The sequence below is a fragment of the Homo sapiens genome, chromosome 16, assembly GCF_000001405.40.
Source record: "Homo sapiens chromosome 16, GRCh38.p14 Primary Assembly".
Taxonomy (NCBI): Eukaryota; Metazoa; Chordata; class Mammalia; order Primates; family Hominidae; genus Homo; species Homo sapiens.
Genome location: NC_000016.10, coordinates 23,549,399 through 23,574,389, shown reverse-complemented (window position 1 = coordinate 23,574,389; position 24,991 = coordinate 23,549,399). Strand labels below are relative to the sequence as shown.

The 24,991-nt window shown below is 47.7% G+C and overlaps 2 protein-coding genes across 11 annotated transcripts in view, besides 7 other annotated features; one reads left to right on the top strand and one right to left on the bottom strand.

Moving 5' to 3' along the window:
- UBFD1 (ubiquitin family domain containing 1) lies at nt 1-16,663 on the bottom strand. Of its 6 annotated transcripts, none has more exons than NM_019116.3 (7): nt 16,623-16,663; nt 16,111-16,440; nt 14,714-14,922; nt 12,119-12,184; nt 11,660-11,765; nt 7,321-7,403; nt 1-3,910 (listed from the first exon to the last, which is right to left on the bottom strand). In NM_019116.3, exons 1-7 carry the CDS (start codon nt 16,645-16,647, stop codon nt 3,800-3,802), a joined length of 930 nt encoding a protein of 309 aa, NP_061989.2. In that variant the 5' UTR covers nt 16,648-16,663; the 3' UTR covers nt 1-3,799. The 6 variants fall into 6 exon arrangements, 5 of the variants coding, with proteins under 5 accessions (NP_061989.2, XP_011544196.1, XP_047290323.1 ...); XM_047434367.1 differs by lacking the exon at nt 1-3,910 and adding an exon at nt 10,301-10,351 and having other exon boundaries at nt 7,320-7,403; XM_017023459.3 differs by lacking the exons at nt 1-3,910; nt 7,321-7,403 and adding exons at nt 7,410-9,840; nt 10,281-10,351.
- Nucleotides 15,778-16,421: an enhancer, noted in NCBI's record as "H3K27ac hESC enhancer chr16:23569290-23569933 (GRCh37/hg19 assembly coordinates)". NCBI's record gives its function as "activates a minimal SCP1, AML or CMV promoter by ChIP-STARR-seq in naive H9 embryonic stem cells {active_cell/tissue: H9 hESC(naive)}" and the evidence as "EXISTENCE:reporter gene assay evidence [ECO:0000049][PMID:30033119]".
- Nucleotides 16,241-16,420: a silencer, noted in NCBI's record as "silent region_7280". NCBI's record gives its function as "represses an Ori minimal core promoter by ATAC-STARR-seq in GM12878 lymphoblastoid cells {active_cell/tissue: GM12878}" and the evidence as "EXISTENCE:reporter gene assay evidence [ECO:0000049][PMID:35858748]".
- Nucleotides 16,422-17,066: an enhancer, noted in NCBI's record as "H3K27ac hESC enhancer chr16:23568645-23569289 (GRCh37/hg19 assembly coordinates)". NCBI's record gives its function as "activates a minimal SCP1, AML or CMV promoter by ChIP-STARR-seq in naive H9 embryonic stem cells {active_cell/tissue: H9 hESC(naive)}" and the evidence as "EXISTENCE:reporter gene assay evidence [ECO:0000049][PMID:30033119]".
- Nucleotides 16,521-16,610: a silencer, noted in NCBI's record as "silent region_7279". NCBI's record gives its function as "represses an Ori minimal core promoter by ATAC-STARR-seq in GM12878 lymphoblastoid cells {active_cell/tissue: GM12878}" and the evidence as "EXISTENCE:reporter gene assay evidence [ECO:0000049][PMID:35858748]".
- Nucleotides 16,681-16,880: an enhancer, noted in NCBI's record as "active region_10584". NCBI's record gives its function as "activates an Ori minimal core promoter by ATAC-STARR-seq in GM12878 lymphoblastoid cells {active_cell/tissue: GM12878}" and the evidence as "EXISTENCE:reporter gene assay evidence [ECO:0000049][PMID:35858748]".
- EARS2 (glutamyl-tRNA synthetase 2, mitochondrial) overlaps nt 17,015-24,991 on the top strand; it is a 36,622-nt gene continuing 28,645 nt past the window's right edge. For 2 of the 5 annotated variants that reach the window (NR_003501.2, NM_001083614.2), the window contains exons 1-2: nt 17,040-17,185; nt 22,086-22,241. Coding sequence is in view for 3 of the 5 variants with exons in the window: in NM_001083614.2 (NP_001077083.1) it covers nt 17,047-17,185; nt 22,086-22,241 (295 nt within the window). In the remaining 2 variants the exon portion in view is untranslated. Of the gene's footprint in view, nt 17,501-22,085; nt 22,242-24,991 lie in introns of all 5 variants that reach the window. The other 3 variants (XR_001751841.1, XM_011545738.2, NM_001308211.1) reach the window with 2 other exon arrangements.
- Nucleotides 17,071-17,350: an enhancer, noted in NCBI's record as "active region_10583". NCBI's record gives its function as "activates an Ori minimal core promoter by ATAC-STARR-seq in GM12878 lymphoblastoid cells {active_cell/tissue: GM12878}" and the evidence as "EXISTENCE:reporter gene assay evidence [ECO:0000049][PMID:35858748]".
- Nucleotides 17,711-18,355: an enhancer, noted in NCBI's record as "H3K27ac hESC enhancer chr16:23567356-23568000 (GRCh37/hg19 assembly coordinates)". NCBI's record gives its function as "activates a minimal SCP1, AML or CMV promoter by ChIP-STARR-seq in naive H9 embryonic stem cells {active_cell/tissue: H9 hESC(naive)}" and the evidence as "EXISTENCE:reporter gene assay evidence [ECO:0000049][PMID:30033119]".

Here is a 24,991-nt window from a genome sequence, read left to right as displayed (position 1 = left end):
TTAATTATCAAACTTTAATCGATTGACTAATCTTACAGGATAAACAATAAGACAGCTATTCAAGGTTACACTTTAAAAAAAAAATCCAGCAGTGCAAATCTAATAGACTAAATACGTTCATCTCCTCCCAAACAGGCATTTGATTTGAAAACAGAAACCAGAACAGAGCATACACCACAAGGAAACATGGTACTTACAAATATTGTCAAATAATTCAGCAGAACTCTTTAAGAAAAAAAAAAGGTTCTTAGAAATTGAGAAAGCAGTAGAACCACCCAGCCTGGCAGATCAATCTACCAGATGTTCTGCATGCGAGAGGGCTCCCAACCACCTGTAACTTCAGAAAGGCCGCCAGGCACTATTACGAAGGAAACAGGTGCAGATCCTAACTGGAGATGACTTTATCACAAAGCCTTAAGACAAAGGGACCATCCTCTTCCAAGACAACAGGTGTGAACAGAGGCAAGGAGCGAGAGGAGAGGGCTCCCTCAGCAGATGGGTGGAAAGCAAGCCTGCCCTTGCACGGCCCTTGGCACACTCAATCTACCCCCTTTCCCTTCTCTGCCCCTGGCAAAGAAAGGCTGGGCAAGTGCAAGAGCCCAGAATGGCTCCTCCAGGCACATGGTTAAAGTAAGAGTAAGAGGAAAACAAGCCCCTTCTGGGTGAAATATGGCAACTTTTCTGAGACATGGCAACGAGGCAGAGTTAATCTCTTTGGCCCTCATCAGGTAAAGCAGCAACTAAGGAGCCTACTCAGGGCCTTACGTGGGCCCCTTCTATGTCCACAAGAAAGTGCATCCTTAGCTCAGTTCAACATTTAAAAAGAGCTAACGCTACTTGCAAAAGGCCCACCATGGATTCAAACACTTAATACCAAAGAGGTCCAGCAACTCGCGAGTCTGTCTGTGTTCTGTGATCTGAAGCAGAGCTAAGGGGGGCCTGGCTCACAGGGTCACGCTCTTCTGCCAAGGCGCCTCAGGGAGGGAAAAAAAGGCATGATGATGTCTGTGAGCCAGAACCTGCAGGAGGACCACCGGTAGAGATTCTAGAAGACAAAGAAGCCCTCAGGAGGCTCTGAGAGGTGTCCAATGTCTAAGAGACGGCCACCCCCTCCATCTCTAGCTTCGAGTCAACGCTGTTACAGTCACTCTCCGGAAACCAGCTCTTCCTTTATCCACCTGCACGGCCCCTGCCACAGTGAGGGAAAGATCTGGTCCCTCTGACAGTAAGGAAATTGTATAGAAATTATCCTGAGGAAAAAAAAAACCACTGTGACGCTACCTAAAAGAAAGAGTATTTCAATTTGCTTACACAGATTTAGTCAGTACACTCCAGACTGTAAGAAATGTATGAAGAGACTGCTTACGGAACTCAAAGACTAAACAGTGAATACTACTGTGGCCCAGACACGGATCGAAAACACTTCTCCCAGTGGCTTCTGGTGCTATGTCTGCTCTCCCGAGAGCGTCCAGCAAGGTCTTCCATGCAGACAGGGTGAGGAGCCACAGAGCTCAAGATTGTTGAAGCTGATTTAGTGAGCTCTGTAAAGCAATACTCAAACAGCTCCGTACGAAAAGGTGTCATTTACATTATTATTTATATATAGTATCTCGAAGTAAGGAAAAAAGCACCATTTTACTGAAAATAAAAAGGCTCACGCAGGCTTTGGTCCTCCTGAAATGACACCAGCCTGAGTGAGAAGCAGTTGGCCCTTGGGGAGCGGGGAGATGATGGAACGCTGTCACCGGCAAGAAGGGAGGCCAAGTGGCCCGGCAAGCCACAAGAATGGGGCAATAAGGGGAGCAGGTGGAGGGGCCTCGGAGAGCAGCCAGGCTAGTCTGGGGATGGAGCCACCTGCTCTGAGAGATCAAAAGTAGGTGTGCGGCACTGTCAGGACAAGTCTCTAGGACTGGGGCATTGGCAAACAAAAGGGGCAATGTCTGACCCGAGATGATGTTCTACTTAATGCATCTCATTTCCCCCAAAACCTGTCACCTGCAGACAGAGGCTTGGACAAGTAGCTCAGATGTACTCTTTTCCCCAGGAACTGCAGGCCGACAAGGACAGAAAAGCTGCAATGACTGCTCCTTTCTCAAGGGATGAAAAAACAGGCTGTTTCTTGGATGCTGCACTTCACAAATGTACTAATTGCCCCCAAAAAAGCAAAGAGTAGATTTTCCTGCCTAGATGCATCACTTGGCATTGACTACACCATGGAAAGCAAGAGTCTGTCTATGTGGGCTGGATTCCTGAACTACAGCTTAGAAGGGAAGGGCGTAGAATATCATCATTAACTGGCTCACAAGGAATAGTCATCTTGGGCGAACACATGCTAATACGTTTCACAGAATGAGGGGTGACAGCCTAGAATCCAAAATGTGATGTTTGGAACATTTCTCGCCAAACCTTACTATGAAAGCCTGCAACCAGTGAGAGGAGAACTGCAAAGACGGCAGCAGAGAAACAGCAAACAGCACAAAAGAGATAATTTACCAAGAGACTTTCCCTCCTTTCAGAGGCAACCAAGCCAGAAGGAGATGACAGAAGTTCACGTGTACAGAGAACAGAAGGGCTAAAACCAGAAGAAGGTGAGCTAATCATGAAAGCAATTTATCCCATTTTTGTTGTTCAATAACACTGGCCAACCTGCTAGGGTCAGATGTCTTCTTCAGAAAGGCAGCATCTCTGAACCTGGGATAAAGGACACTTGAACTGAATGCATGAGCAGAAGGACCCAATGGAGAAGCATAATTGAAATCATCCTTGGACTGCTTAAGAATTTCTTGAAAACTTCCAAAGAAAGAAGGTTATCTGGATCTGCAGCTATATGGCTGTATAACTATCTTCTACCTGGCTCCTCCTGGAAGAGGTCTTTGTCTGCTTGGGAGCTGGGGCTGTTGAGCGGCACAGCCCAGGCACAACCATGCCAGGCTGGGCCTCTAGGCCAAGCTCAGTGAGGGGTGCAGACAATCATCCAACCAGCAATGGAACTCCTTGGAGATGGGGGCCCAAAGGGCAAGACATTTAAACAGGAGTCACTGGGAGATACTCTGCTGCTCAACGAACACCACAGCAAGTGTGAGAGCTCCTTGCCCAAGACTGAGCAGCTCTTCCTCTCCCACCGTGCGTTCACAGGCAGCAGCAGCACGGCGGGAGGGAGCCCAGGAAAGGAAGCGTTGATGAGGTACCAAAAGAAGAACTGACATCTTTGGGTTCTTAAAACAAAAACTCAAATTGAGGAAGCGAGAGAATGAAAAAGGGAAAGAATTAAATCTGAATCAATGGACAGAAATATGTGGCTTACTAACCCACCCCCATTTTGCATACAATTTTATACAAAAAAGGAAAAAAAAAACACCCCAACTCATTGCAATGCAGTCCAAATGTTTGCAACCAAAGATGTATGAAAATATTTCAATTGAAACTGCTTTTTTTTTTTTTAAAAAAAACAAAGCTTTTGATCATTCCCTTGTCAACATAATTGGCAGATCTACTCTCAAACACACTTAAGAGTATTCCACACAACATGTTCGGAATTCAGATTTATTGATTTCCATCGTATTGACTTTAAAAATGGTATGAAGCTGACTGCAAGAAAGGGAACTGGTAATTTTAAGTTAAAATTAAGCTAATGGTGAAAGTACATCACCTCTGGCTTCAGTCACCACATCACCTCAGATTGAATATAGATTTTTTATGAACAAAGTTCCAGAACTCTGAAATCCAGGGATGCTGCAGGCCTCTCCCGGCAATGTCCTTCACTTTGGGTCAGTCTCCTGGGCCAGAGGTGAAAGTGCTTTCAAAAATACTGCCATTTCCCCAGCACAGTGTCTTTGATTGCATCCACATATTGAGTTGGAACCCAGTACACCCAGTAGTAAGAGGCTTCCGTGGGGCCCAACTGAAACGCCTGGAAGGGAAAAAGGAAAACCAAGCGGTACTTCAGAGGTCGGGAGACCAAGCAGGCAGGACAAACATGGGTGAGGGTTGGGATGTGAGTTAATTAAAAAGGGAAGAAAAACCAAACAAAACTTTGCACGTGGGGAGCATTCTCCCAACCAAAAACAAAAACAGGCAGGCTGAGGGTTAAGCTGAGCCAACCCTAAAGCAGCAGTTCTCAAACCTGAGTGGTCATCAGAGCCATCCGGGGGGCTTGCTGGAACATGGATCAGCAGGCTCCAACCCTGTGAAGTTTCTAATTTGGGGAGGTCTGGGGTGGGGCCTGAGAAACTAGCAAGCTCCCAGGTGATGCAACACTACTGATCCAGGGACCACAGTTGGAGAAACGCTGCCCTAGAAAACCTGTCACACATGCTCAAGAAAACAGGTATGAATGTTCATTGCAGCACTGTCTGAAACCACAAAAACCTGGGGCAACCTACATATCCATCAGTAAGGGAATGCAGAATTCAAAGTGACAAGGCTTAGTCACACCAATACTGGAGCTCTTTTTAAAGAGGTATCAACTGGGTCCATATGGATCTACAGTTAATACTGACAGATTCTTATGTTGAACCAAAGAAAAGCAAGTTGTAGAACAATACATAATACCATTTACGAAAACTGGAAGCACAAAACAACACTCCATCTTGTTCGTGGATACACGTGTAAATCAAAGAATGGATAGATGGGAAGGACGCACGTGACACATGACGATGGTAATGGGGGAGGGGAAGACAGTGGGGCCATCATTGCTGTGAATAAACTTTATTTCTTTTATTTAAAAAAATTAAAGCAAATTACAAAATATTTACAATTGCCACTTCTCAGTGATGGATATATGGGTTTGTGACAGTTATTCTCTTTCTTTTCTGTATTTTATTTTTATTTTTTCTGAGCTGGAGTCTCTCTCTGTTGCCCAGGCTGGAGTGCAGCGGTGCAATCTCAGCTCACTGCAACCTCCGCCTCCCACTTTCAAGCGATTCTCCTCCCTTAGCCTCCCAAGTAGCTGGGATTACAGGTGCGCGCCACCATGCCCAGCTAAATATTTGTATTTTCAGTAGAGACAGGGTTTCACCATGTTGGCCAGGCTGGTCTTAAACTCCTGACCTCAAGTGACTCACCCACCTCGGCCTCCCAAAGTGCTGGGATTACAGGTGTGAGCCACTGCGCCCAGCCTCTTTTCTGTATTTTAAAAACATTTCTCTAAAAATGAAAAAGCACAGCCACAGTTTTCCAACTGTGAATGATGACATGTTAATTTAGCTAGAGAAATAGCATCTGCCCAAAGAGATAACTAAGTACTTTCATTAGGACAAAGGTAAAGGTGTTTGGAAAAGAGAAGGGGACTACTAGAGCTATCCTCTGCCAGAAATAACTCGAGAGAAATGAACATTTCAATGAAATACTAAGTCATTACCCATCCACACCAATTCCTCCAAAGACGTCCAAAACAGTCCACTCAACTTCCTTGGACTCCCTACCACCACACTGCTTGAAAAGTCAGGCTACAAACCCTACAGGGTGTGACTGGCAACACAAACTATTCAAAAAGGAGTGATGGGGCCCAGTTAAAAACATTCAAGTCCAACTGTTTTTTTTTGTTTTGTTTTTTTGTTTGTTTTTTGAGACAGAGTCTCTGTCACCTAGGCTGGAGTGTAGTGGCACGATCTCTGCTCACTACAACCTTCGCCTCCCAGGTTCAAGCAATTCAAGCAGTTCTCCTGCCTCAGCCTCCTGAGTAGCTGGGATTACAGGTGCCCGCCACCACGCCCAGCTAATCTTTGTAATTTTAGTAGAGACGGGGCTTCACCATGTTGGTCAGGCTGGTCTCAAACTCCTGACCTCATGATCCGCCCACCTCAGCCTCCCAAAGTGCTGGGATTACAGGCATGAGCCACCACGCCTGGCCCAACTGTTAAAACAGAAAAAAATAACTGACCAGGCCAAACCAATTTGTCTGCAATCCTTGTAATAAAGACTACAGAGAGAGGGCTGGGCATGGAGGCTCACGCCTGTAACCCCAGCACTTTGGGAGGCTGAGGTGGGCGGATCGCCAGGTCAAGAGATTGAGACCATCTTGGCCAACATGGTGAAACCCCATCTCTACTAAAAATACAAAAATTAGCTGGGTGTGGTGGCGTGAGCCTGTAATCCCTGCTACTCAGGAGGCAGAGGCAGGAGAATCGCCTGAACCTGGGAGGCAGAGGCTGCAGTGAGCCGAGATAGCGCCACTGCACTTCAGCCTGGTGACAGAGCGAGATTCCGTCTCAAAAAAAAAAAAAAAAAAAAAGACTACAGAGAGAGTAGGGGTGGAAGGGCTGCCAAGGGGCATCATCACTTCCAGAAGACAAAACCCCAAGAGCCCCACAGCCTAGGGACTGCACTCCCAGCTACAGCCTTGCTACAGCCACACTAGGCAGGATGCCAACAGGGCTGCCTCCCTTGCCCACCATATTTTAAGCCCCTTTGATTTTTTTCTATAGCAAGAGGATCTTCCAACACATCTCTCTGCCTGGGACTTGTTATCCCAATCTACTGGTCAAACCACTAGTTCCTTCTTTTCCCTGGGATGGGCTGATGTGGCTTCATCACTGTGGGATGGACACTGAAAGGCCTGCCTCCTTGGATGAACAATGGCCGGAGGCCCCGCCCTCACATTACAGCTGCTCAGGCCAGGCCCCTGATGGGCAACTGCAGAATCAACTTCGTGGTCAATGTGGCTCCTCCAAAGAGCACTGGGAAAATTTTGGAAACTGCCTAAGCTGCTCATTTTACCAGATGAATGAATTTTTTGCTTTGTTCTGCAGACCTGCACAACACCTCCAAACATTCTGTCTTGGGAAAGAGTAGCCTGCTCTCTGCAGAGTGGGTTCTATGCAGAATAGACGCTCCACAGAGCCCGTCTTCCCCACGAGGCCCTCAGCCACTGGGCCTGGAAGAGCGGCATCGTTATTACAGAAAAGAGGCTGTCTGGTGCCCTCACCAACACCAAGGCTAAGGGCAAGTTTTGTTTTATAAGCAAGATAAAACTTATAATGAAAATCCACAAGCCATTCCTCCTCTTTATATTTATTTTCCTGGTCTAGAAACAACACACGACAAGAGGGAGGCAAGAGAGACTTTTCTAAAAGAGGTAAGAGAAAACATATCCCCTTTAAACTGATGGAAGGTGTGTGTGGGGGGGTGTAAAATAAACAGAACTAGGAATAGAGGCCATGGATTAAGTTCTAAGTAGATGAAGAAAACATCAGGGTCTTAAAAAAGTGCATCTTCTGGAGACTGAGTTTTCTTCCGTTAAACAAGCTCAGTTAAAACTGTTCCCTGCCAGGTGAAGTGGGAGTCTAGTGAGAGGGGCTGAACTCAGCCAGCGCTACTTACCATCATGTGGTAGTCTTCATGTCCTTCGATAGGTTCACTGACCACATTTTTTATGGAGCCCATGGGCAATTTCTCAGTCCGCTCTAAGTTGAGAGGGATTACAGTGATTATTCAAAGGGCCCTCCTGTTCTAACTTCTCTGACTCAGCAGTCCCTCATCAGGGCTGGTGGCTGCGGGATCTACAGTAAACTCAAGTGACTGGCGCCATGCCCTCTGGGGACAACACGACAGGGTCTTCTGACCAGTGCACATAGGGCTTCGTGTGGGAGCTGGGAACTCCGTAGGAGCAAGTGGGAAACTGGGTTTGGCAATGGTATAGTAAAGGTCTCTGAGGGCAGAATTGTATCTTCCCTGGGATTATTTTTTAAAAGTCTGATGGTTAATAAATATCCAAGAAAGGCCAGGCGCGGTGGCTCAAGCCTGTAATCCTAACATCTTGTGAGTCAGGATTTGGCCAAGGTGGGTGGATCACCTGAGATCAGGAGTTCGAGACCAGCCTGGCCAGCATGGTGAAACCCCGTCTCTACTAAAAATACAAAAAATTAGCCAGGCGTGGTGGTGGGCACCTATAATCCCAGCTACTCAGGAGGCTGAAGCACGAGAATCGCTTGAACCCGGGGGGCAGAAGTTGCAGTGAGCCGAGATCATGCCACTTTACTTCAGCCTGGGCCAAAGAGCGAAACTCCATCTCAACAAAAAAAAATATAAAATAAATAAATACCCAAGAAATTCCTTTGTAACCTTATGCAAGCCCAGCATTGACTAAGGTCTTGGGCAGTAGGGAGAGTCAAGAGGCCTACGAACAAAGAGGCAACACGTTCCCCTGTGGCTCTCACAAGGGAAGGGGAGTGCCTGGATTTTAGGGCTAGATTCTATACCACGACCCTGCTCCCTTCCCCGGCCTCCCTCCTCGAGTCCTCCGCACTCTATATTCACACACTTTTATGAAGTTCTCTTAAAACATTTATAACCTTTTGTGATTAACACTTGAGATACCACTGATCACATGGGGTCAGAAGACATTGAGGCGAGTTTAAGGAGGATGGCAGGTAAGAGAAGGGGGCAGCAAGGGATGCCTGGAGTGAGATGAGACTGCCGGGAGTGAGCCAAGTGAAGCGGGACTGGGTGAGGTCAGGGGAGGCGAGGTGCACCTGCACAAGGGGACATGGCCATCCTGGAGCAGCAGACACCTCAGGGACGGGGGCGCAGGGGGAGGGGGGCAGGGAGGCTCAGCAAACAGCTAAACCAAGTGGAAAAAAACTTGCAGCCTTTGCAGAAAGAAAAATCTGGAAAGATAGAGTCTAAAAATAGATAAGTTGGCCAAACAGACTAGGAATTTAGAGACCAGCGTTCTGGTCTAGCTGGGGACTTAAGACATTTTACTTCAGTTCTGTGGGCCTCAGTATCTGAAAAATGGGGGCTGGGGAGAAGGGACCTGAAGATGTTTATTTAGGTTTGGACTTCTAGTGGCTCTACAACAGTCGGCCCTAAAGCAGGACCTGGGCAGCAGCTGTCTTTAAGATGGAAACTTTTAAAACACCTTTCATCCTGAAATGTCTGGAGATTTCACAAAAATATACAACAGATTTCTGGCTTCTCTTGAAAACTCCAAAAATTGGGCAATTCTGGACCCACACTCCTGATCACTACATCAGACCTTCAGCCAGATTCAACTTTCCTACGAGCAGGGTACATGCTCTCCTCCAGCGGCTTCCGGTTTCCTGCCTGGAGCTTGTTCTCATTCTTTTGAGGCTGTTAGAACTGCCTCCTCCTACACAAGCTAGCAGAGTTTAGTCAAGAGTAGCAGCCCTTAAGGGTCACTTACTCAGCAAAGCGCCCCACGAAGAGGCCAACTCGCTGCTGGGATGGTCATTCCATAGCCGCTTCTTCTTGCCAGCAGAAAGACGAAGCCAGTGGCTAGCAGCCAACTCCCAGAACAAGCTGTCCTCTTATGAGTGCTTATGACACTTAGGTAACAGGACTGGGCAAGTGACAAGACTGCCTGCCCCTTGGGCTCCAGAGGTACAGTGCTATGGGTGGGAATGAAAATCTTAACCTTGTTCAACCCTAGAAAACATGAGTAGTCCATGGCCATGCTCCTCAACAAGACTGGTGAGTAAGGAGGCTTTCAAGGGCTCAGAAGCCCCAACATATTGAGCTTCTTCTACAGCTCTCCCTTTAGGCCAAAGCAGGAAGGCGGCTGCTCCTACTAGCAAAAAGAAAACTTCCAATACAGGGTCAGGAAGTTCTTGTTCTGTCAGTTCCTGCAGTTATGATGTGTTCCCTATACAACTTCCTGACACAGAAATATTCCCCAAGGAACCAATGAGCACTTACAGACTTAGTTCCCATCCAGACTTCTCTGCCTGCACCTATCTTCATGGCAGGGTCTTTCCAGGTCAGCCGTAGCAACTGCCTTCAATGAGGCTGCCCACAAGCAAAAGTAGAGGTCCAGCAAGAGGCAGGAAGTCTATGCACTTCAGCAAGTGAATGTGATGAGACAGAACTAAGCAAAATCACCTGCAAAGTTGACAGAGGCTGGGCAGCTTACTACTGATAAAGGGAAGATGGACAGGCTCTACAGAAGAGAATGATCTAGCAGAGGGTTCAAAGGCCCTTGCAAAAACTGGGGGGAACCCTCAGATATTCTGCAAAACTTGCTTTGACCATGCAGTTAGAGTTGAATGTGAAATGAAGAAAATAGCAAGTTATCATAAAATTGATAGAAAACTCAAGCATTTTTGGCATTTCAATTTTTGTTCATTTTAACAATCAGTATAGGGTTGAACACTGATTTTTGTGTTTTAGATGATTAAAAACTCTCTCTTCCCACCACCCCTGCCCCAATTATTCTCCATAAAACTTGGTCCCATTTTAAGTGGAGTCTCACTAAATGGTCTGTCCCTGAAACCAGTGAACGTCAGATGATGGGACCCCCTATACTTCTCTTTAGCATTTACCTCGAACACTGAATACCTACAGTGCTGGTCAGAAACAGGTGATTTAGGCATGTTCGGTTCCCTCCAGGAATCTAACAGGGGGACAGACAAGTCAGAGAGTAATGAGTGCTCTGGGGATATAAACGAAGCGCTCTATGAACAGAAGCGGCAGCAAGTCATTTGGAGGGTGGGGGGAGAATCAAGGAAGGCTTCATTCAGAGAGGACATTTAAGTAGGGCCTTGGAAGATTTTATTAATAACAAGGAATGGGAAAAAGGCATTCCAGGTAAGGGCACAGCATGAGCAAAGACAAGGAGCTGTGCAAAGCACACTGGGAGCTTCACAGAGAGATGCGGCTAAAATACACAGGGGACCACAGGGCAAACGGGCCAGAAGCTGGAACCAAAATTTAAACTAAGGCCCAGTGTTGAGAACACTGAACGCTATGGTTAGGCATTTGAATGTGTCCTTAAACAGCCAAAGGTCCTTGAGCACGGGTACCCAGGATAAAAAGCAGTAGGTAAGATGGACAGGACAGAAGAAAACACAGATGGGGCAGTGAAACAGGGTAACTCGCTTTGAACAGACCAAGTTTAAAGATGCTTGGGAACTTTAACTGGCACAACAGTGTGGCAAAGAAAGGGACAGACAGTTCTGCAGTGTAACTAACAAGACTTTGTAACCATCTGGGGGAAGGGAGAGGGAGGACAGTCAGAGACACTTCCCAGCAAACAGCAAGGCTGATCCAGACACCGTGCACAGGCGGGGGTGGGGCAGGCAGAGGGCAACCAGGCGGGGAGGGAGAGGCAGATTCCTCGGCAGCGGTTAGGAAAACTTCACCTACTATAGGGTCAAACTCTGACCTACAGGGGCCAGGCAGGTGACAAATGAACAAAGCTGGCTACTTCTAAGATAAATGGGACCATGAAGACTGTAGTATGGCCCACTGGAAACCACCACTCGGCTCTAGTGGATCGATGCCATGTGAGAATGCAGGCCCCAAAGGGCCAGATCATTTGAGTTTTCAAGAGAAGCCAAAAAAAAAAAAAAAATCAGATTAGTGAAATCTCCCAATTTTTACAGATTGTGTGTCATCCCACAAAACATTTTTCTGTGGACCAGATTTGGCCCTTGGGCCACGTGTTTGGGACCCCCAAATCTGTGTGCAACTGAAGAGCCACTGTTTGGTGGATCAGCCCTAAGATCAGACTGAAAACAATGAGGGAAAACGGTCCAAACAAAAGGCGAGCATCTAAAAGCAAATTTAAAAGCCAGAAGCAAGCAAAGCACAGTGGAGAGAGAGGTTTCAGAAGGAGGGGTGAAATCGCACTCTAAAATGTGAGTGCTGCTGGGTGCCAGAGGCAGGCAGTGGGCCAGCAAGGAGGCGAGGAAGAACATACCTTTAGTGCCAATCCACAGCTGGTCTTGTTCTAGTTTAAAGGTGAGTCTCACTTTTCCTCCAGATTTATTGTACATGCCGGACAGCGGTACCGTTGGCAGGCGCTCCTGAAGGCACGAGAGAATGGTAAGAGATGGAGGGACAGTCAGAAAAAAAGAGAAGGGGGCCAAGCGCGGTGGCTCACGCCTGTAATCCCAGCACACTGGGAGGCCAAAGCGGTCAGATCACCTGAGGTCAGGAGTTGGAGACTAGCCTGGGCAACATGGTAAAACCCCGTCTCTACTAAAAATACAAAAATTAGCCAGGTGTGGTGGCACACCCCAGCCTGGGTGACAGAGCAAGACTCTGTCTCAAAAAAAAAAAAACAGGGAAAAAAGAGAAGGGACAGGATTGGAGGAACCTCAAGTCAGACGGTGGGGCTGCCTCATTTTCAGAATGCTCACAAAGAAATCCGCCTTACCTGGGCCCCCTTAACAGATGGCATCACATCTTCAGGTTTTCCTTTATCCAACACTTTCCTGTGTTGCTATAAGTCAGAAGAGAGAATGAAATGAAACAGCTGACTACATTTCGTCGTGTTACTATTCCCTTGAAAGAGAGGATGAAGAAAGCCTTAGTGTTTTGGCTCAAAAGCTTTTAATGACGACAGACTATGGATCCTTTGAAACTATAGCACAGTGCTGTCCAGCAGAACTTTCTGGGAGGGCGAATATGTTCGTACCTGTGCTAGCCACTACCTACTGCTGTGACTATTACACACTTGAAATGCAGCTACTATGACTGAGGAACTGAATTCTTAATTTCATTTTAACCAGCCACATGTGGATAGCTACCATATTAGATATCAAAGTTCTACAGCAAACGGGATTTCCAGATTGCCCTCCTCCCCTCAAAAAAAAAAAAAAAAATCACCACTGAAATGATTAAACCATCAAACTAAAGAGGGCGACAAAGGGTGTTGCTCTCCTAGCAGACAAAAAATGGCACCCACCTTTTTCAACTTAAACTTCCAGAGAACACTATAAGATGCTGGTAATCCGTCTAACTGCCTAGGAGGAGCAGTTCTTCAACAAATGGAGACCCAGCCCATCGCCGAAGTTTTCCCCACTGCCCTACCCTTAACTCCAGCTAAACAGGAACCTGGAAGAGCCACCTTTCAGAAAGAAATGCTTATTACTCTATAACCTGACATTAAGAAGCCTCTAAACTCCACCCCTACCACCTGCCCCAAGAACTCTGAGGCAGCTCTTCAAGGATTCTAAGTTCAGGGCCCCTTAAACAGTTCTCCTGCCTGGCCCAAATGCCTGAGTCTTCTTTCTTCTCCATCTGTGGCCTTATAGGCATAGCCACTGCTTGGAAGGCTGGAACTAGGGGACAATGAATGGATAGAAGGTAACAATTTAATCAAATGTAAGCACTAGGCAGCCACAAGCCAGCCCAAATCCTCACTGGCATGGTGGAATCCCTCTGGGAGGAATAAACTCAGCACTGCCAGACTGCTAGCAAAAAGTCACTCCAGACATCACCCCCAGACCCCTTAATAAGCTGGTAAAAAGGCAAGGGACTATATCCCTCTCATTAGGTCATGTGATGCATCATAATTGGCCTCAATGAAACACAGCAGCATGGGCTGGAAGTACAATTCGAGTCACACCTTTCAAGTACCTTTTGAACAAGATTTCCTGTACTGTGGAGAACAGTTCTAAGCCTGTTAAGCTACCATTAGTAACTAAAAACCTGTATTTAGGAGGCATGTTATGCTCCAAGGGTGTGACCATTGCGACCACTCCTATCTGACGTGCTCACATTTCACTATTTCATACATGTGGCAAAGAAAAACAGGAATATGAGAAGAAACTCAATCGGTTTCAAGACACTGAGACCCCATATGTGGGGGTGAAGTCTCCAAATCAACACCTTTTAGATAATTAATATAGGTTTATAACCCCTTATCTGAAACCCTAGAGTTTTGAACTTTCAGGGTTTTGGAATTTTTATAAAGATAATATTGCTTTCAAATACATAACAATCTTCTCTGTGGGGTCTGGGGCAGTACCTTGTCACCAAAGAGGAAAATTCACACTAATTCTGGTCAGGTTTTGCTGTTAAATTTATAAAAACACTTCTCGTTTTTATACTCCTTTGGGGTTTTGGAAGCACACATGGGGGATTATGGATCTGTAACACAAACTGTGTCCTTTTCTTACTGTTGGTCATATATCTTAGTGTCTATGGTCACTAAATGATGTTGATTGAAGTTTATCTACTCTACTTCAGACACAGTTGAGAATACCTGTCTTCCTTGGAACACTAGGAAGAACGATCAGGAGGCTACACAGCAATCAGTATAATTTGCCAGGTAAAAAGATAACAAGTAATGATTCTTACAACCTGTTCCTTCCATAGTAAAATAATCTCACTTTTCCTCGTTACGTGAAAGAATGTTAATGGCTATGATGAGCACAAGACAAGGCAGGATCTCTTGCAGCCAAAAGAACAGAGAACGTAAAAAACCAAGCTCCTATTTCACAGATCAGGACAAAAAAATAAATAAACAAATCCATCAGTGTAGTTGTCTTCCTACTCAGCTTCATTTAGCTTCCTGAAACGGTCAGCTTTAGGGGAACCTCCGAGAGTTGTTGATTTCCATGCCTAGCCAGGCTTGTTGACTTGGGGAAAGCCACAAACCAAAAAGCCAAATGTAAGCACTTGTACAAAATGAGGGCTTACTTCTAGTACTGGTAGTTTTCTCTGGCACTAAATAAGAGAGAGAAACCCACGTCTGATTCCTTTCAACACATGGTCTGAAGCCTCCCTTTACCAAGGTCTTATCCTAAAGTAGGTAGACTTGAGACACACTGACCCGCCAGATGAGACAAAGTTGCAAATCTCAGGTAGTTGTCACCTCCACTCTGCGGCACCCAACTGCTGCCATAAATTTCCATCATGGGCCCTGTCCAAAAAGGAGCTTATTCTAGGGAGAATATAACCAGCCACGGCTCAAGAGGACAAAGCCTCAAATTTCTCAAGACCAAGAAGCACAAGATGGACTCACTTTCTGCCTGCAGAGAGGCTCCTTCTTGTTCTCTTCGGCCTTTGCATCCTGCTGCGCAGCATCTTTGGGTGTGTTTACTGCTAAAACATCATTGATGGTGGAGCCAACCACCATGATCTTGGCCCCACTGGTCACTTTTATTTCTCTCAATGTTTTATCCTCGGGGACGAGTCCCTTATACATGACTTTCTGCATGGCAGGCGGGAGACCTTGGGAAAAGGTAGAAGGTGGACAGTGAAAGGAAGGAAGGACAGAAAAATGTATGGATACTACACAGCTCTTTGGTAACAGACCAAAAAGTGAATACTGCCTCCACCACCTATTAGCTTTGTGAACTTGGGAGATTTACAACCTCTGAACCTCAGTTTCTAGAACTGTAGAAGATTTATTAGAGTAAGTCCTTCTGTACAGACCTGTTTCAAGGATTAAGAGACCAATGCGGGGCATTTAGTACGGTGGCTAGCATTGAATAATTGTTCAGTAAGTACTAGCTCTCATTCTTTCCAAGTTGTTCCTCAGTCATCTAAATCATTCACATATTAAGTGAGAATCCACAGGCATCAGAGCTACAGAAGCCAATAGGGACAAAACTCCTGTTCTTAATGGAGATTACAAGGCTACATGTAGAAAGCTTTAAAAAAAAAAAAAAGTTCAAGGCCAGGAGTGATGGCTTATGCCTGTAATCCCAGCACTTCGGGAGGCCGAGGTGGGTGGATAAAATAAAAAAAACTAGCCCGGCGGGGTAGCGGGCACCTGTAATCCCAGCTACTCGGGAGGCTGAGGCAGGAGAATCGCTTGAACCTGGGAGGCGGAGGCTGCAGTGAGCCAAGATGGTGCCAGTACACTCCAGCCTGGGCAACAGAGCAAGACTCCGTCTCAAAAAAAAAAAAAAATAGGAAAAAGAAAAGAAATCTCAGATGGCAAAGAGCTATGAACAAGGTAAAATTAAGAAACAGAATCGACTGTGAAGAACCAGCATCAAAGTCAATAGCAGCGTTTCCTAAACTTCACTTAGAAGAATTACCTAAGATATTTGCTAAAAATAAATTCCTGGCTACATCCCAGACCCACTGAATCAGAATCTCCTGGGAAAGGGCCCAGAAGCTGTAAAACAAGCGCCTTAGGTGATTTTTTAATTAGAGATGTTAGAGCAACATCAATGAGAAACTGGGGCCTAAACGTCAGACTTCGGCTTTAATCCCAGCTCTGCAACTTACTAGCTCTATAAACTTGAGTCTCTTTCCCCAGCTGAGTAATGGGCATCCAAGTATCCTTCAGAAGACTGCTGTAAGGATGGGGGGACCTGATGCAAGGAAAGCCACCAGGTGCCTAGTAGGGTGCAAGGGCCATCAGGAGGCGGGGTGGGGAAGACTGGCTGTCAGCGCCACAGGAATTACCTGTAATCGAGTGGATCTTCTGTTTCAGCTCGGAGCCTGTGCTGTCCAGGGGGAACTTCACGTCATGCTTGGTCTTATTCCAGATGATCTTCAAGTCCACCAGCTCCCTGCCCGCGCCGCCGCCCGCGTCTTCGCCGTTGCTGACCGAGGCCTGGGCTGCGGGGTCCCCAGGGGGCTGGGCCGGGGCCGGCTGCAGGCTGCCTCGTGCGGCGCCGGAGTCCTCGGCCGCCGCCCCCGCCGCGGCTTCAGCCTCCAGGCAGTTGACGGGCCGCGCGGGAGCCTCAGTAGCCACAGTCTCGGCCTCCGTGTCCATGCCAGGTTCCTCCATGCCTGCAAGGGGGTTAGGGGGTGGGCGCTCGCCGCGGGCTGGGCTTGGGAACGGACGCTGTCCGGGCGCCGCCGGACCTCCGTTCCCGAGCCGCGGTTCTCCCTCCCGGGCCGGGCCGCATCCCCCAGAGGAGCGACCGCAACCTCAGCCCCGGCCCGGCGCCCGCCACCCCCGCCGCACTCACCATCCGGGGCCCCGGCCGCCGCCATGATGATTGTGTACAACACCCACCGCTCCCGCAGAGGCCGCTGGGAAGAGGCGAGCTGGCTGAGATTGGCCCCCGCAGCAGCCCCTAATCTCTCACAGCCCGGCCGGAAACAGGTGGAGGTTTCTATGGAGACCCGCCTCCTCCGCTCCCAGGTCCGGCCCCTGCCACGCTTTCGCTTTCCCAAGCTGAAGGGGGCGGGTCCGGGAAATAGCCCTTTCTCTGGCCTCTGCCCCCTGGTGGCGAGTGCGGCCGCAGCCGTCCAGGGGGGCGTGGGATTTCGCGCTAGGGGGCCTGTGACTTTAAGGGGCAAGGCTGCGCTGGCTGTGGCGGAGGCCGATTGGCTGGAAGCAGTCCCCGGAAGTGACGCAGGGAGAAGCCCACGTGTGCTATTCCATCCCACATGGCGGCGCTCCTGAGGAGACTGCTGCAGCGCGAGAGGCCTTCGGCGGCCTCTGGCCGCCCCGTAGGACGGCGCGAGGCCAACCTGGGCACTGATGCCGGGGTTGCGGTGCGAGTGCGGTTCGCTCCCAGCCCCACAGGTAACCCTGGCGGACGTGACGCTACAGGCCGAGGCCCCCTGTCCCGTCTCCGCCCCACGAATGTTCCCGAATGAATCCTTTCCGGTGGTGTCAGAGTGGGCGGGCGGAGGAGGGTTAAGGCAGCGCGAGCCCATTTTACAGAGGCGGAAACTGAGGTGCAGGAGCGGAAATAATTCAAATTGCCAGGAGTTTCTTGTGTTTTTTGTGCCATCCCATCTCTTTCGATCTTTTTTTCATGCATTCCATACATGTGCATTGATGACAACCTGTGTAACAGGTGTTGTAGACGCTGGGATACAGTGATCATTGAGAAAGGTAGGGGCCTTGCTCTGTGGAAGTCTGCATTCTAGTGGCTGCCGCAGACACTTATAAAAAATAAGTGTAATTTTAGAGTCACATGTGCCATGCGGGAAGTGAAACAGGATAGGAGACTGGGGATTAAGAAGGACGCTCCAGAAGGCTTTACTGAGCAGGTAACATTTGAGCTGAGATCCAAATGACAAGAAGGAGCACGCTATGTGAAGCCTATAGAAGGAACCTTCTGGAGGCCAGGCGCGGTGGCTCACGCTTGTAATCCCAGCACTTTGGGAGGCAGAGGTGGGTGCATCACTTGAGGTCAAGTGGATCACTTGAGAGCCGTCTGACCAACATGGTGAAGCCCTGTCTCTACTAAAAATACAAAATTATCTGGGCATGGTGGCGCATGCCTGTAATCCCAGCTACTTGGGAGGCTGAGGCAGGAGAATCGCTTGAACGCAGGAGGTGGAGATTGCGGTGAGCCAAGATCGCGCCATTGCACTCCAGCCTGGGCAACAAGAGCGAAACTGTGTCTCAAAAACAAAAAAGAAGGAACCTTCTGGGTAGAGGAAATCGCAGGTACCAAGGCACTGTGCTAGTGCTGTTGGGAGCTTAGCAAGCTAGAGGGTGACAGAGGCCCATTGTATAGCCTGTTGGAGATCTCGTCAGGGCCTTTTGGTTCCCACCAGTAAGGCTACCTTCTACGTTCTCTACACGGAGTATGCCTCTCATCCCAAATCCCAGGATGAACATACAAAGATCTTTGTAGTAAAATCCCAGCTATACATGACAGGATCTTTCTGGCAGGCAGTATAGCCTAGAGCAGTGCCTTTCAAACCATCTGTTGTGGAAGTGCTGGTTTTAAATTTCCAATCAATTGTGTATCAATATTTGCACAAAATTAATATAATGACCAGAAAAATAAAATTTTGAAAACATCCAAAATACAAACCAATCTCATTTTATTTGGGTTAGCAGAGGTAAAATCATTCTGCCAGATTGCTATGTAAGTTTCGCCTGGCCAATATGGCAAAACCTTGTCTCTACTAAAATACAAAAATTAGCCGGGCATGTGGCCCAGGCCTGTAATCCCAGCTACTCAGGAGGCTGAAAATCGTTTGAACCCAGGAGAAAGAGGTTGCAGTGAGCCGAGATCGTGCCACCGCACTGCAGCCCGGGTGACAGAGTGAGACTCCATCTCAAAACAACAACAAAAGTTTCTAAACCTTTACTCTCAGTTTCTGTACTTGATTGTGAACTGACAACTGTTTTCAGACCAGCACTGGATTGCACACTTTGCTTTGAAGAGCACTTATGTAGAATGCCAAAGCCTGGGATTGCCTGGGTCCAAATTTCTGTCGTGGCCACTTATTAGATGTGTAACTTACTAGATGTGCAAATTATTATTGTTATTTTGAGACAGGGTTTGGCTCTGTCTGTCGTCCAGGCTGGAGTGCAGTGGTGCAATCTCGGCTCACTGCAACCTCAGCCTCCGGGGCTCAAGTGATCCTCCCACCTCAACCTCCCGAGTAGCTGGGACTACAAGTGTGTGACCACTACGCCCAGCTAATTTTTGTATTTTCTTGTAGAGATGGGGTTTTGCCATGTTGCCTGGGCGGATCTTGAACTCCTGAGCTCAAGTGATCCACCTGCCTTGGCCTCCGAAAGTGCTGGGATTATAGGTGTGAGCCATCACACCTGGCCTAGATGTGCAAATTATTTAATGAATCTGAGCCTCAGTTTCACCATTTGTCAAAACGGGGCTAATAATAATATCTGTCTTATGGGGTTAAGCTCATGCAGCCGAACCACTTAGTAAGGTCTAGTACACCCAGAAAGCACTTAATACACAGCCTCTATTATGATGATTGTACTTCTCATTTCCTTGCTCATTTGCGGGGAAAGCCCATGTGGGAAAGGCTTTTGACTATAAACAGATAAAAGAATTATCAGGCACAGATCATTACAGTAGCTGAAATTAATTGAGGGTTTACTTTGGTCAGCATTTAGACCTCAGAGCAACCCTATAATAAAGAAGGTTCTTATTTTTTTGCTCTTAATCCCTCTGACAGATGAGGAAATAGAAGCTCATAAAAGTTAAGTAGAGTTCCTTCTCAAGGGGTAGCAACTAATAAATGGTGGATGCAGAATTTGAATCCAGGTGTACTTGATGTAAGAGGCTTTGTTTTCAGCAGCTGGGTTCCTCTTTTGTCTTGGGGACTCGTGGGACTCAGTGCCACTGAATACCACTGGTTTTCTGGTGTCCTTGCAGTAACTATCCGAAGGTTACACACATCAGTGTTGAAGCAGGGTCGGCCTGGCCCCAGAAGAGCTTTTTCTCTCCTCTGCTGCCTCTTGTACTTGTAAATGTAGATGAGCTCATTGTGGAGACTTAGGGCTGTGGGCTGGTCCGAAGAAGGTACGGTAAGAGGTAATGACAACTCTGGAAAAGCTGTTAACTTTCAGTTTTCAGACAGGAATGATGAAAAAGGCAAATCTTAGGAGTTTAAACTGATGAAGAGAAATACAGTGGAATCAAACACTACTTTTGGTTAGTGTTTAAAGCCAGCAATTAGGGTGAAAATCTTGGCAAGGCATGGTGGCTCATGCCAGTAATCCCAGCACTTTGGGAGGCTGAAGTGTAAGGATTGCTTGAGCCCAGGAGTTTGAGACCAGCCTGGGCAACATAGTGAGACCTTGCCTCTGCAAAAAAAAAACCAAAAAACAAATATTAGCCGGGCATGGTGGTGTACACTTGTAGTTCCAGCTACTTGGGAGGCTGACGTGGGAGGATTGATTGAGCCTGGGTGGTTGAGGCTGCAGTGAGCCGTGACTGTACCACTGGACTTCAGCCTGGGCAAGAGTGAGACCCCATCTCAAATTTCAAAAATGAATTTTGTTTCTTTAAAAAAGTAAAAATCTCAAGTAGATGAAATTTAAAATGTACGACGTGGACAGTCATGCACACTGCATAGACTGCATATGCAAAATGTGATTTTTTTTTTTTTTTTGGAGATGGAGTCTCGCCCTGTCGCCCAGGCTGGAGTGCAATGGTGCGATCTCGGCTCACTGCAACCTCTGTCTCCTGGGTTCAAGCAGTTCTCCTGCCTCAACCTCCCAAGTAGCTGGGATTACAGGCGCCCACCACCATGCCCAGCTAATTTTTTTTGTGGTATTTTTAGTAGAGACGGGGTTTCAACATGTTGGCCAGGCTGGCCTCAAACTCCTGACTTTGTGATCCACCCGCCTCGGCCTCCCAAAGTGCTGGGATTAAAGGTGTGAGCCACCATGCCCCACCGATTTTTTTTTTCTTTGTAGAGACAGGATCTCACAATGTTGCCCAGGCTGGTCTCAAATTTAGAGACCCAGGTGATCCTCGTGCCTCTGCCTCCAAAAGTGCTGGGATTAGAGGTGTGAGCTACTGCACCTGGCCCACAATATGATTGTACAGTATTTTAAATTTCTAGTTTGTTTGTAATTAATTTTTTTCCCAGCGCACATCATTGAATTTCTGTAAGTTAAATGTACATGATATGGCCTCAATGAATAACTCTCTGCTTCTCTTTCAGGCGAAACTTGGCCTTGAGACAAATATCAAAATAGAGTGGTGGATGCAGTTGGGGAAAATTGGAGCCTTTTAATAAAATGACATGCTCCAAATCCTGGGTGGTTTCCATTTTCAGGATGAGGGATTAAATGTGTCTGGAGACAGGGCACAGGGGTAACTAGTTCTTAGTCTTTGAAAAAAAATTTTTTAATTTTTAATTTTTTTTGTTTGAGACAGAGTCTCACTCTACTGCTGCCCAGGCTGGAGTGCAGAGGCGTGATCATGGCTCGCTGCAGCCTCAGCGTCCCCAGGCTCAGGTGATCCTCCCACCTCAGTAACTGAAACCACAGGCATGTACCACCATGCCCAGCTAAATTTTTATATTTTTTGCTAAGACAAGGTCTCACCATGTTGCCCAGGCAGATCTCAAACTCAGGCCAAGCACAATGGCTCACGCTTGTAATCCCAGCACTTTGGGAAGCCAAGGCAGATGGATCACTTGAGGTCAGGAGTTCGAGATCAGCCTGACCACCATGGCAAAATCCTATCTTTACTAAAAATACAAAAATTGGCCAGGTGTGATGGCTCTTGCCTGTGATCCCAGCACTTGGGAGGCCGAGGCTGGGGGGATCACTTGAGGCCAGGAGTTCAAGACCAGCCTTGCCAACATGGCGAATGCCTGTCTCTACCAAAAATACAAACATGTAGCTGGACGTGGTGGCACACACCTGTAATCCCAGCTACTCGGGAGGCTGGGCATGAGAATTGCTTAAACACAAGAGGCAGAGGTTGCAGTGAGCCAAGACTGTGCCACTGCACTCCAGCTTGGGTGACAGAGTGAGACTCTTGTCTTAAAAAACCTACAGGAACCTCCTGGGCTCAAGTGATCCCCCCGGCCTTGGCCTCCCAAAGTGGTAGGATTACAGGCGTGAGCCAATGTGTCCTGCTGGTCTTTTAAATTTATTGCAACATTCTGTCACAGTAGTGCTTACTTGCCCCTTGCTGAGGCCTATTAGCTTATCTTCCCTGTCTTATCTGAGCTGTTCTCTTCTCCAGGCTTCTTGCACCTGGGTGGCCTCCGCACTGCCTTGTACAACTACATCTTTGCTAAGAAGTACCAGGGGAGCTTCATCCTGAGGCTAGAGGACACAGATCAGACTCGCGTTGTGCCTGGGGCAGCGGAGAATATTGAGGACATGCTGGAGTGGGCAGGTAAGCCTGGCAGAGAAAGGATCTTTCTGCAGGGAAGGAACAGGAAGCAGGAAAAGGAGCCTGTGGGTCTTCTCATGGAGTTCTGAGTGGAAAATGGGGAGTTCCTGGAGAAGTGGCTACATTTGTACTGCCCTGCCCGGGGTGGCAGATGACACCTGAAAAAATGCCGAAGCTCTCTGAAACACAGCTCCAAGACTGGTTTCTTTATTTTTATTTATTTATTGTTTTTGAGACAGAGTCTTGCTCTGTTGCCCAGGCTGGAGTGCAGTGGTGCGATCTCGGCTCACTGCAAGCTCCGCCTTCCGGGTTCACGCCATTCTTCTGCCTCAGCCTCCAAGTAGCTGGAACTACAGGCGCCCGCCACCACGCCCGGCTAAGTTTTTTTGTATTTTTAGTAGAGACGGGGTTTCACTGTGTTAGCAAGGATGATCTTGACCTCCTGACCTCGTGATCCACCTGCCTCGACCTCCCAAAGTGCTGGGATTATAGGCATGAGCCACCGCGCCCAACTTGGTTTCTTTATTTTTTAATTTTTTAGAGTCAGGGTCTCATTTTGTTACCCAGGCTAGAGTTCCATGGCACAATCATAACTTACTGTAGCCTCGACCTGGGCTCAAGTGATCCTCCACCTTAGCCTCCCAAGTAGTTGGGACTACAGGCACGCACCACCACGCCTGGCTAATTTTTAATTTTTTTGTAGAGATGAGATCTCACTGTGTTGCCCAAGCTATTCTCAAACTCCTGGGCTCAAGCAATCCTCCTGCTACAGCCTCCCAAAGAGCTGGGATTACAGGTGTGAGCCACTGCCAAGGCTGTTTTGAGATTCCTGTTTTCACCTCAGAATCTCAAGTTCATTCCCTACAGGGGCCAGGCAGGAAACACAGGGCCAAGTGGGAACTGGAGGAGCTGGGCCAGTGCTGAGCTGTGAAAACCACACCTCATCCAGAGTTGGGAGTGCCTCTGAGCTCCAGCTCCTTGTGCCCATGCGGGAATGCTGGCCCAGCTTGTCCAATCCTCTGAGTTGCAAGAGGAGCCAGAAATCCAGTTTTTCTGGATGAATACTTAACCATTATTAAATCTGGGCTCAGATTTTTTTTAACCATGTTGTATAAGCCACACAAAACACGTACAGCTTCTGAAGTTGATCTTGTGGGAAGTTTTATCCTGAGGACAGCTAAGGTCAGGGAGAACAAAGAGGAGTGTGTTTCCTTTTCATGGGTCGACAGTTGTCTACCTGTATGGACGGGTGTGACTAGGAAAGGGGAGATTCCCAAGGAAAAATACCAAGACTCTGCTAGTCTAGAGATTGAAAAAAAAAGAAAGAAAAACCCCAAGACTATTTTGAGATGTGTGTTCTAATCTCAGGTAAATTACTCACTAAACTCTGGATTCCTAAAGAGTATAAAATGGTTGGCCGGGCGTGGTGGCTCACGCCTGTAATCCCAAAACTTTGGGAGGCCGAGGCTGGTGCATCACGAGGTCAGGAGATCGAGACCATCCTGGCTAACATAGTGAAACCCCATCTCTACTAAAAATACAAAAAATTAGCCAGGCGTGGTGGCGGGTGCCTGTAGTCTCAGCTACTCAGGAGGCTGAGGCAGGAGAATGGCGTGAACCCGGAAGGCGGAGCTTGCAGTGAGCCGAGATTGCATCACTGCACTCCAGCCTGGGTGACAGAGTGAGACTCTGTCTCAAAAAAAAAAAAAAAAAAAAGACCATGTGCTTAGTGCCAAGGGAAAAGACAGATGAGTGGATTAATTATTTCTTTTTTTTTTTTTTTAACAAACAAAATCTTGCTCTGTTGCCCAGGCTAGAGCGCAGTGGTTCAAACACAGCTCACTGTAATCTCAAATTCCTGAGCTCAAGGGATCCTCTCACCTTAGCCTCCTGGGTAGCTGGCACCATAGCTGTGTGCCACCATGCCCAGCTAATTTTATTAACTTATGTTTTTGTAGAGGTAGGGTCTTGCTATGTTGCCCAGGCTGCTGTTGAACCCCTGACCTCAAGTTAATTCTCCTGCCTCGGCCTCCCAAAGTGCTGGCATCACGGTCATGAACCATCGCTCCTGGCTCCTAATTCATTCTTCATAGGATACTAAATGATAATAACCAGTATGGAGAAAAGAGTAACAGGCTTAGAAACTAGGGCGAGGGATGCCCTTGTAGATAGGGCAGTTTTCTCTTAGGAGGTGATGCTGGAGCAGAGACCTGCATGAAGTGAGGAGCCAGCCCCGTGGTGACCTGGGGGAAGAATGTTCAAAGCAAAAAGAATAGCCAATGCAGAGGCCCCACAGCAGGAGTGTTCTAGATGTATTTGAGGAGCATCAAAAAGACCAGCTTGGTCTAACCATAGTGAGCAGAATGACCAGGGATGTGAGGATAGAAGGCTTGCCAGGTCGGGCACAGGGGTACACGCCTGGAATCCCAGCACTTTGGGAGGCCAAGAAGAGAGGATCACTTGGACCCAGGAGTCCAAGACCAACCTGGGCCACATAGTGAGACCTCATCTCTACAAAAAATTACCCAGGTGTAGTGGTGCACTCTTATAGTCCCAGCTACTTGGGAGGCTGAGGTGGGAGCATCACCTGAGCCTGGGGAAGTTGAGGTTGAGGCTGCAGTGAGCTGTGATCATGTTACAGAATTCCTTCAGTGCCACTTTGCCAGCCAGAAATCTCTGCAGCTGCCCTCACCTCTGTCGGGGCCTCGCTTGGGCCTTCTGGGCCCATTTGGCCCAGCAGGCTGCACTTGGCT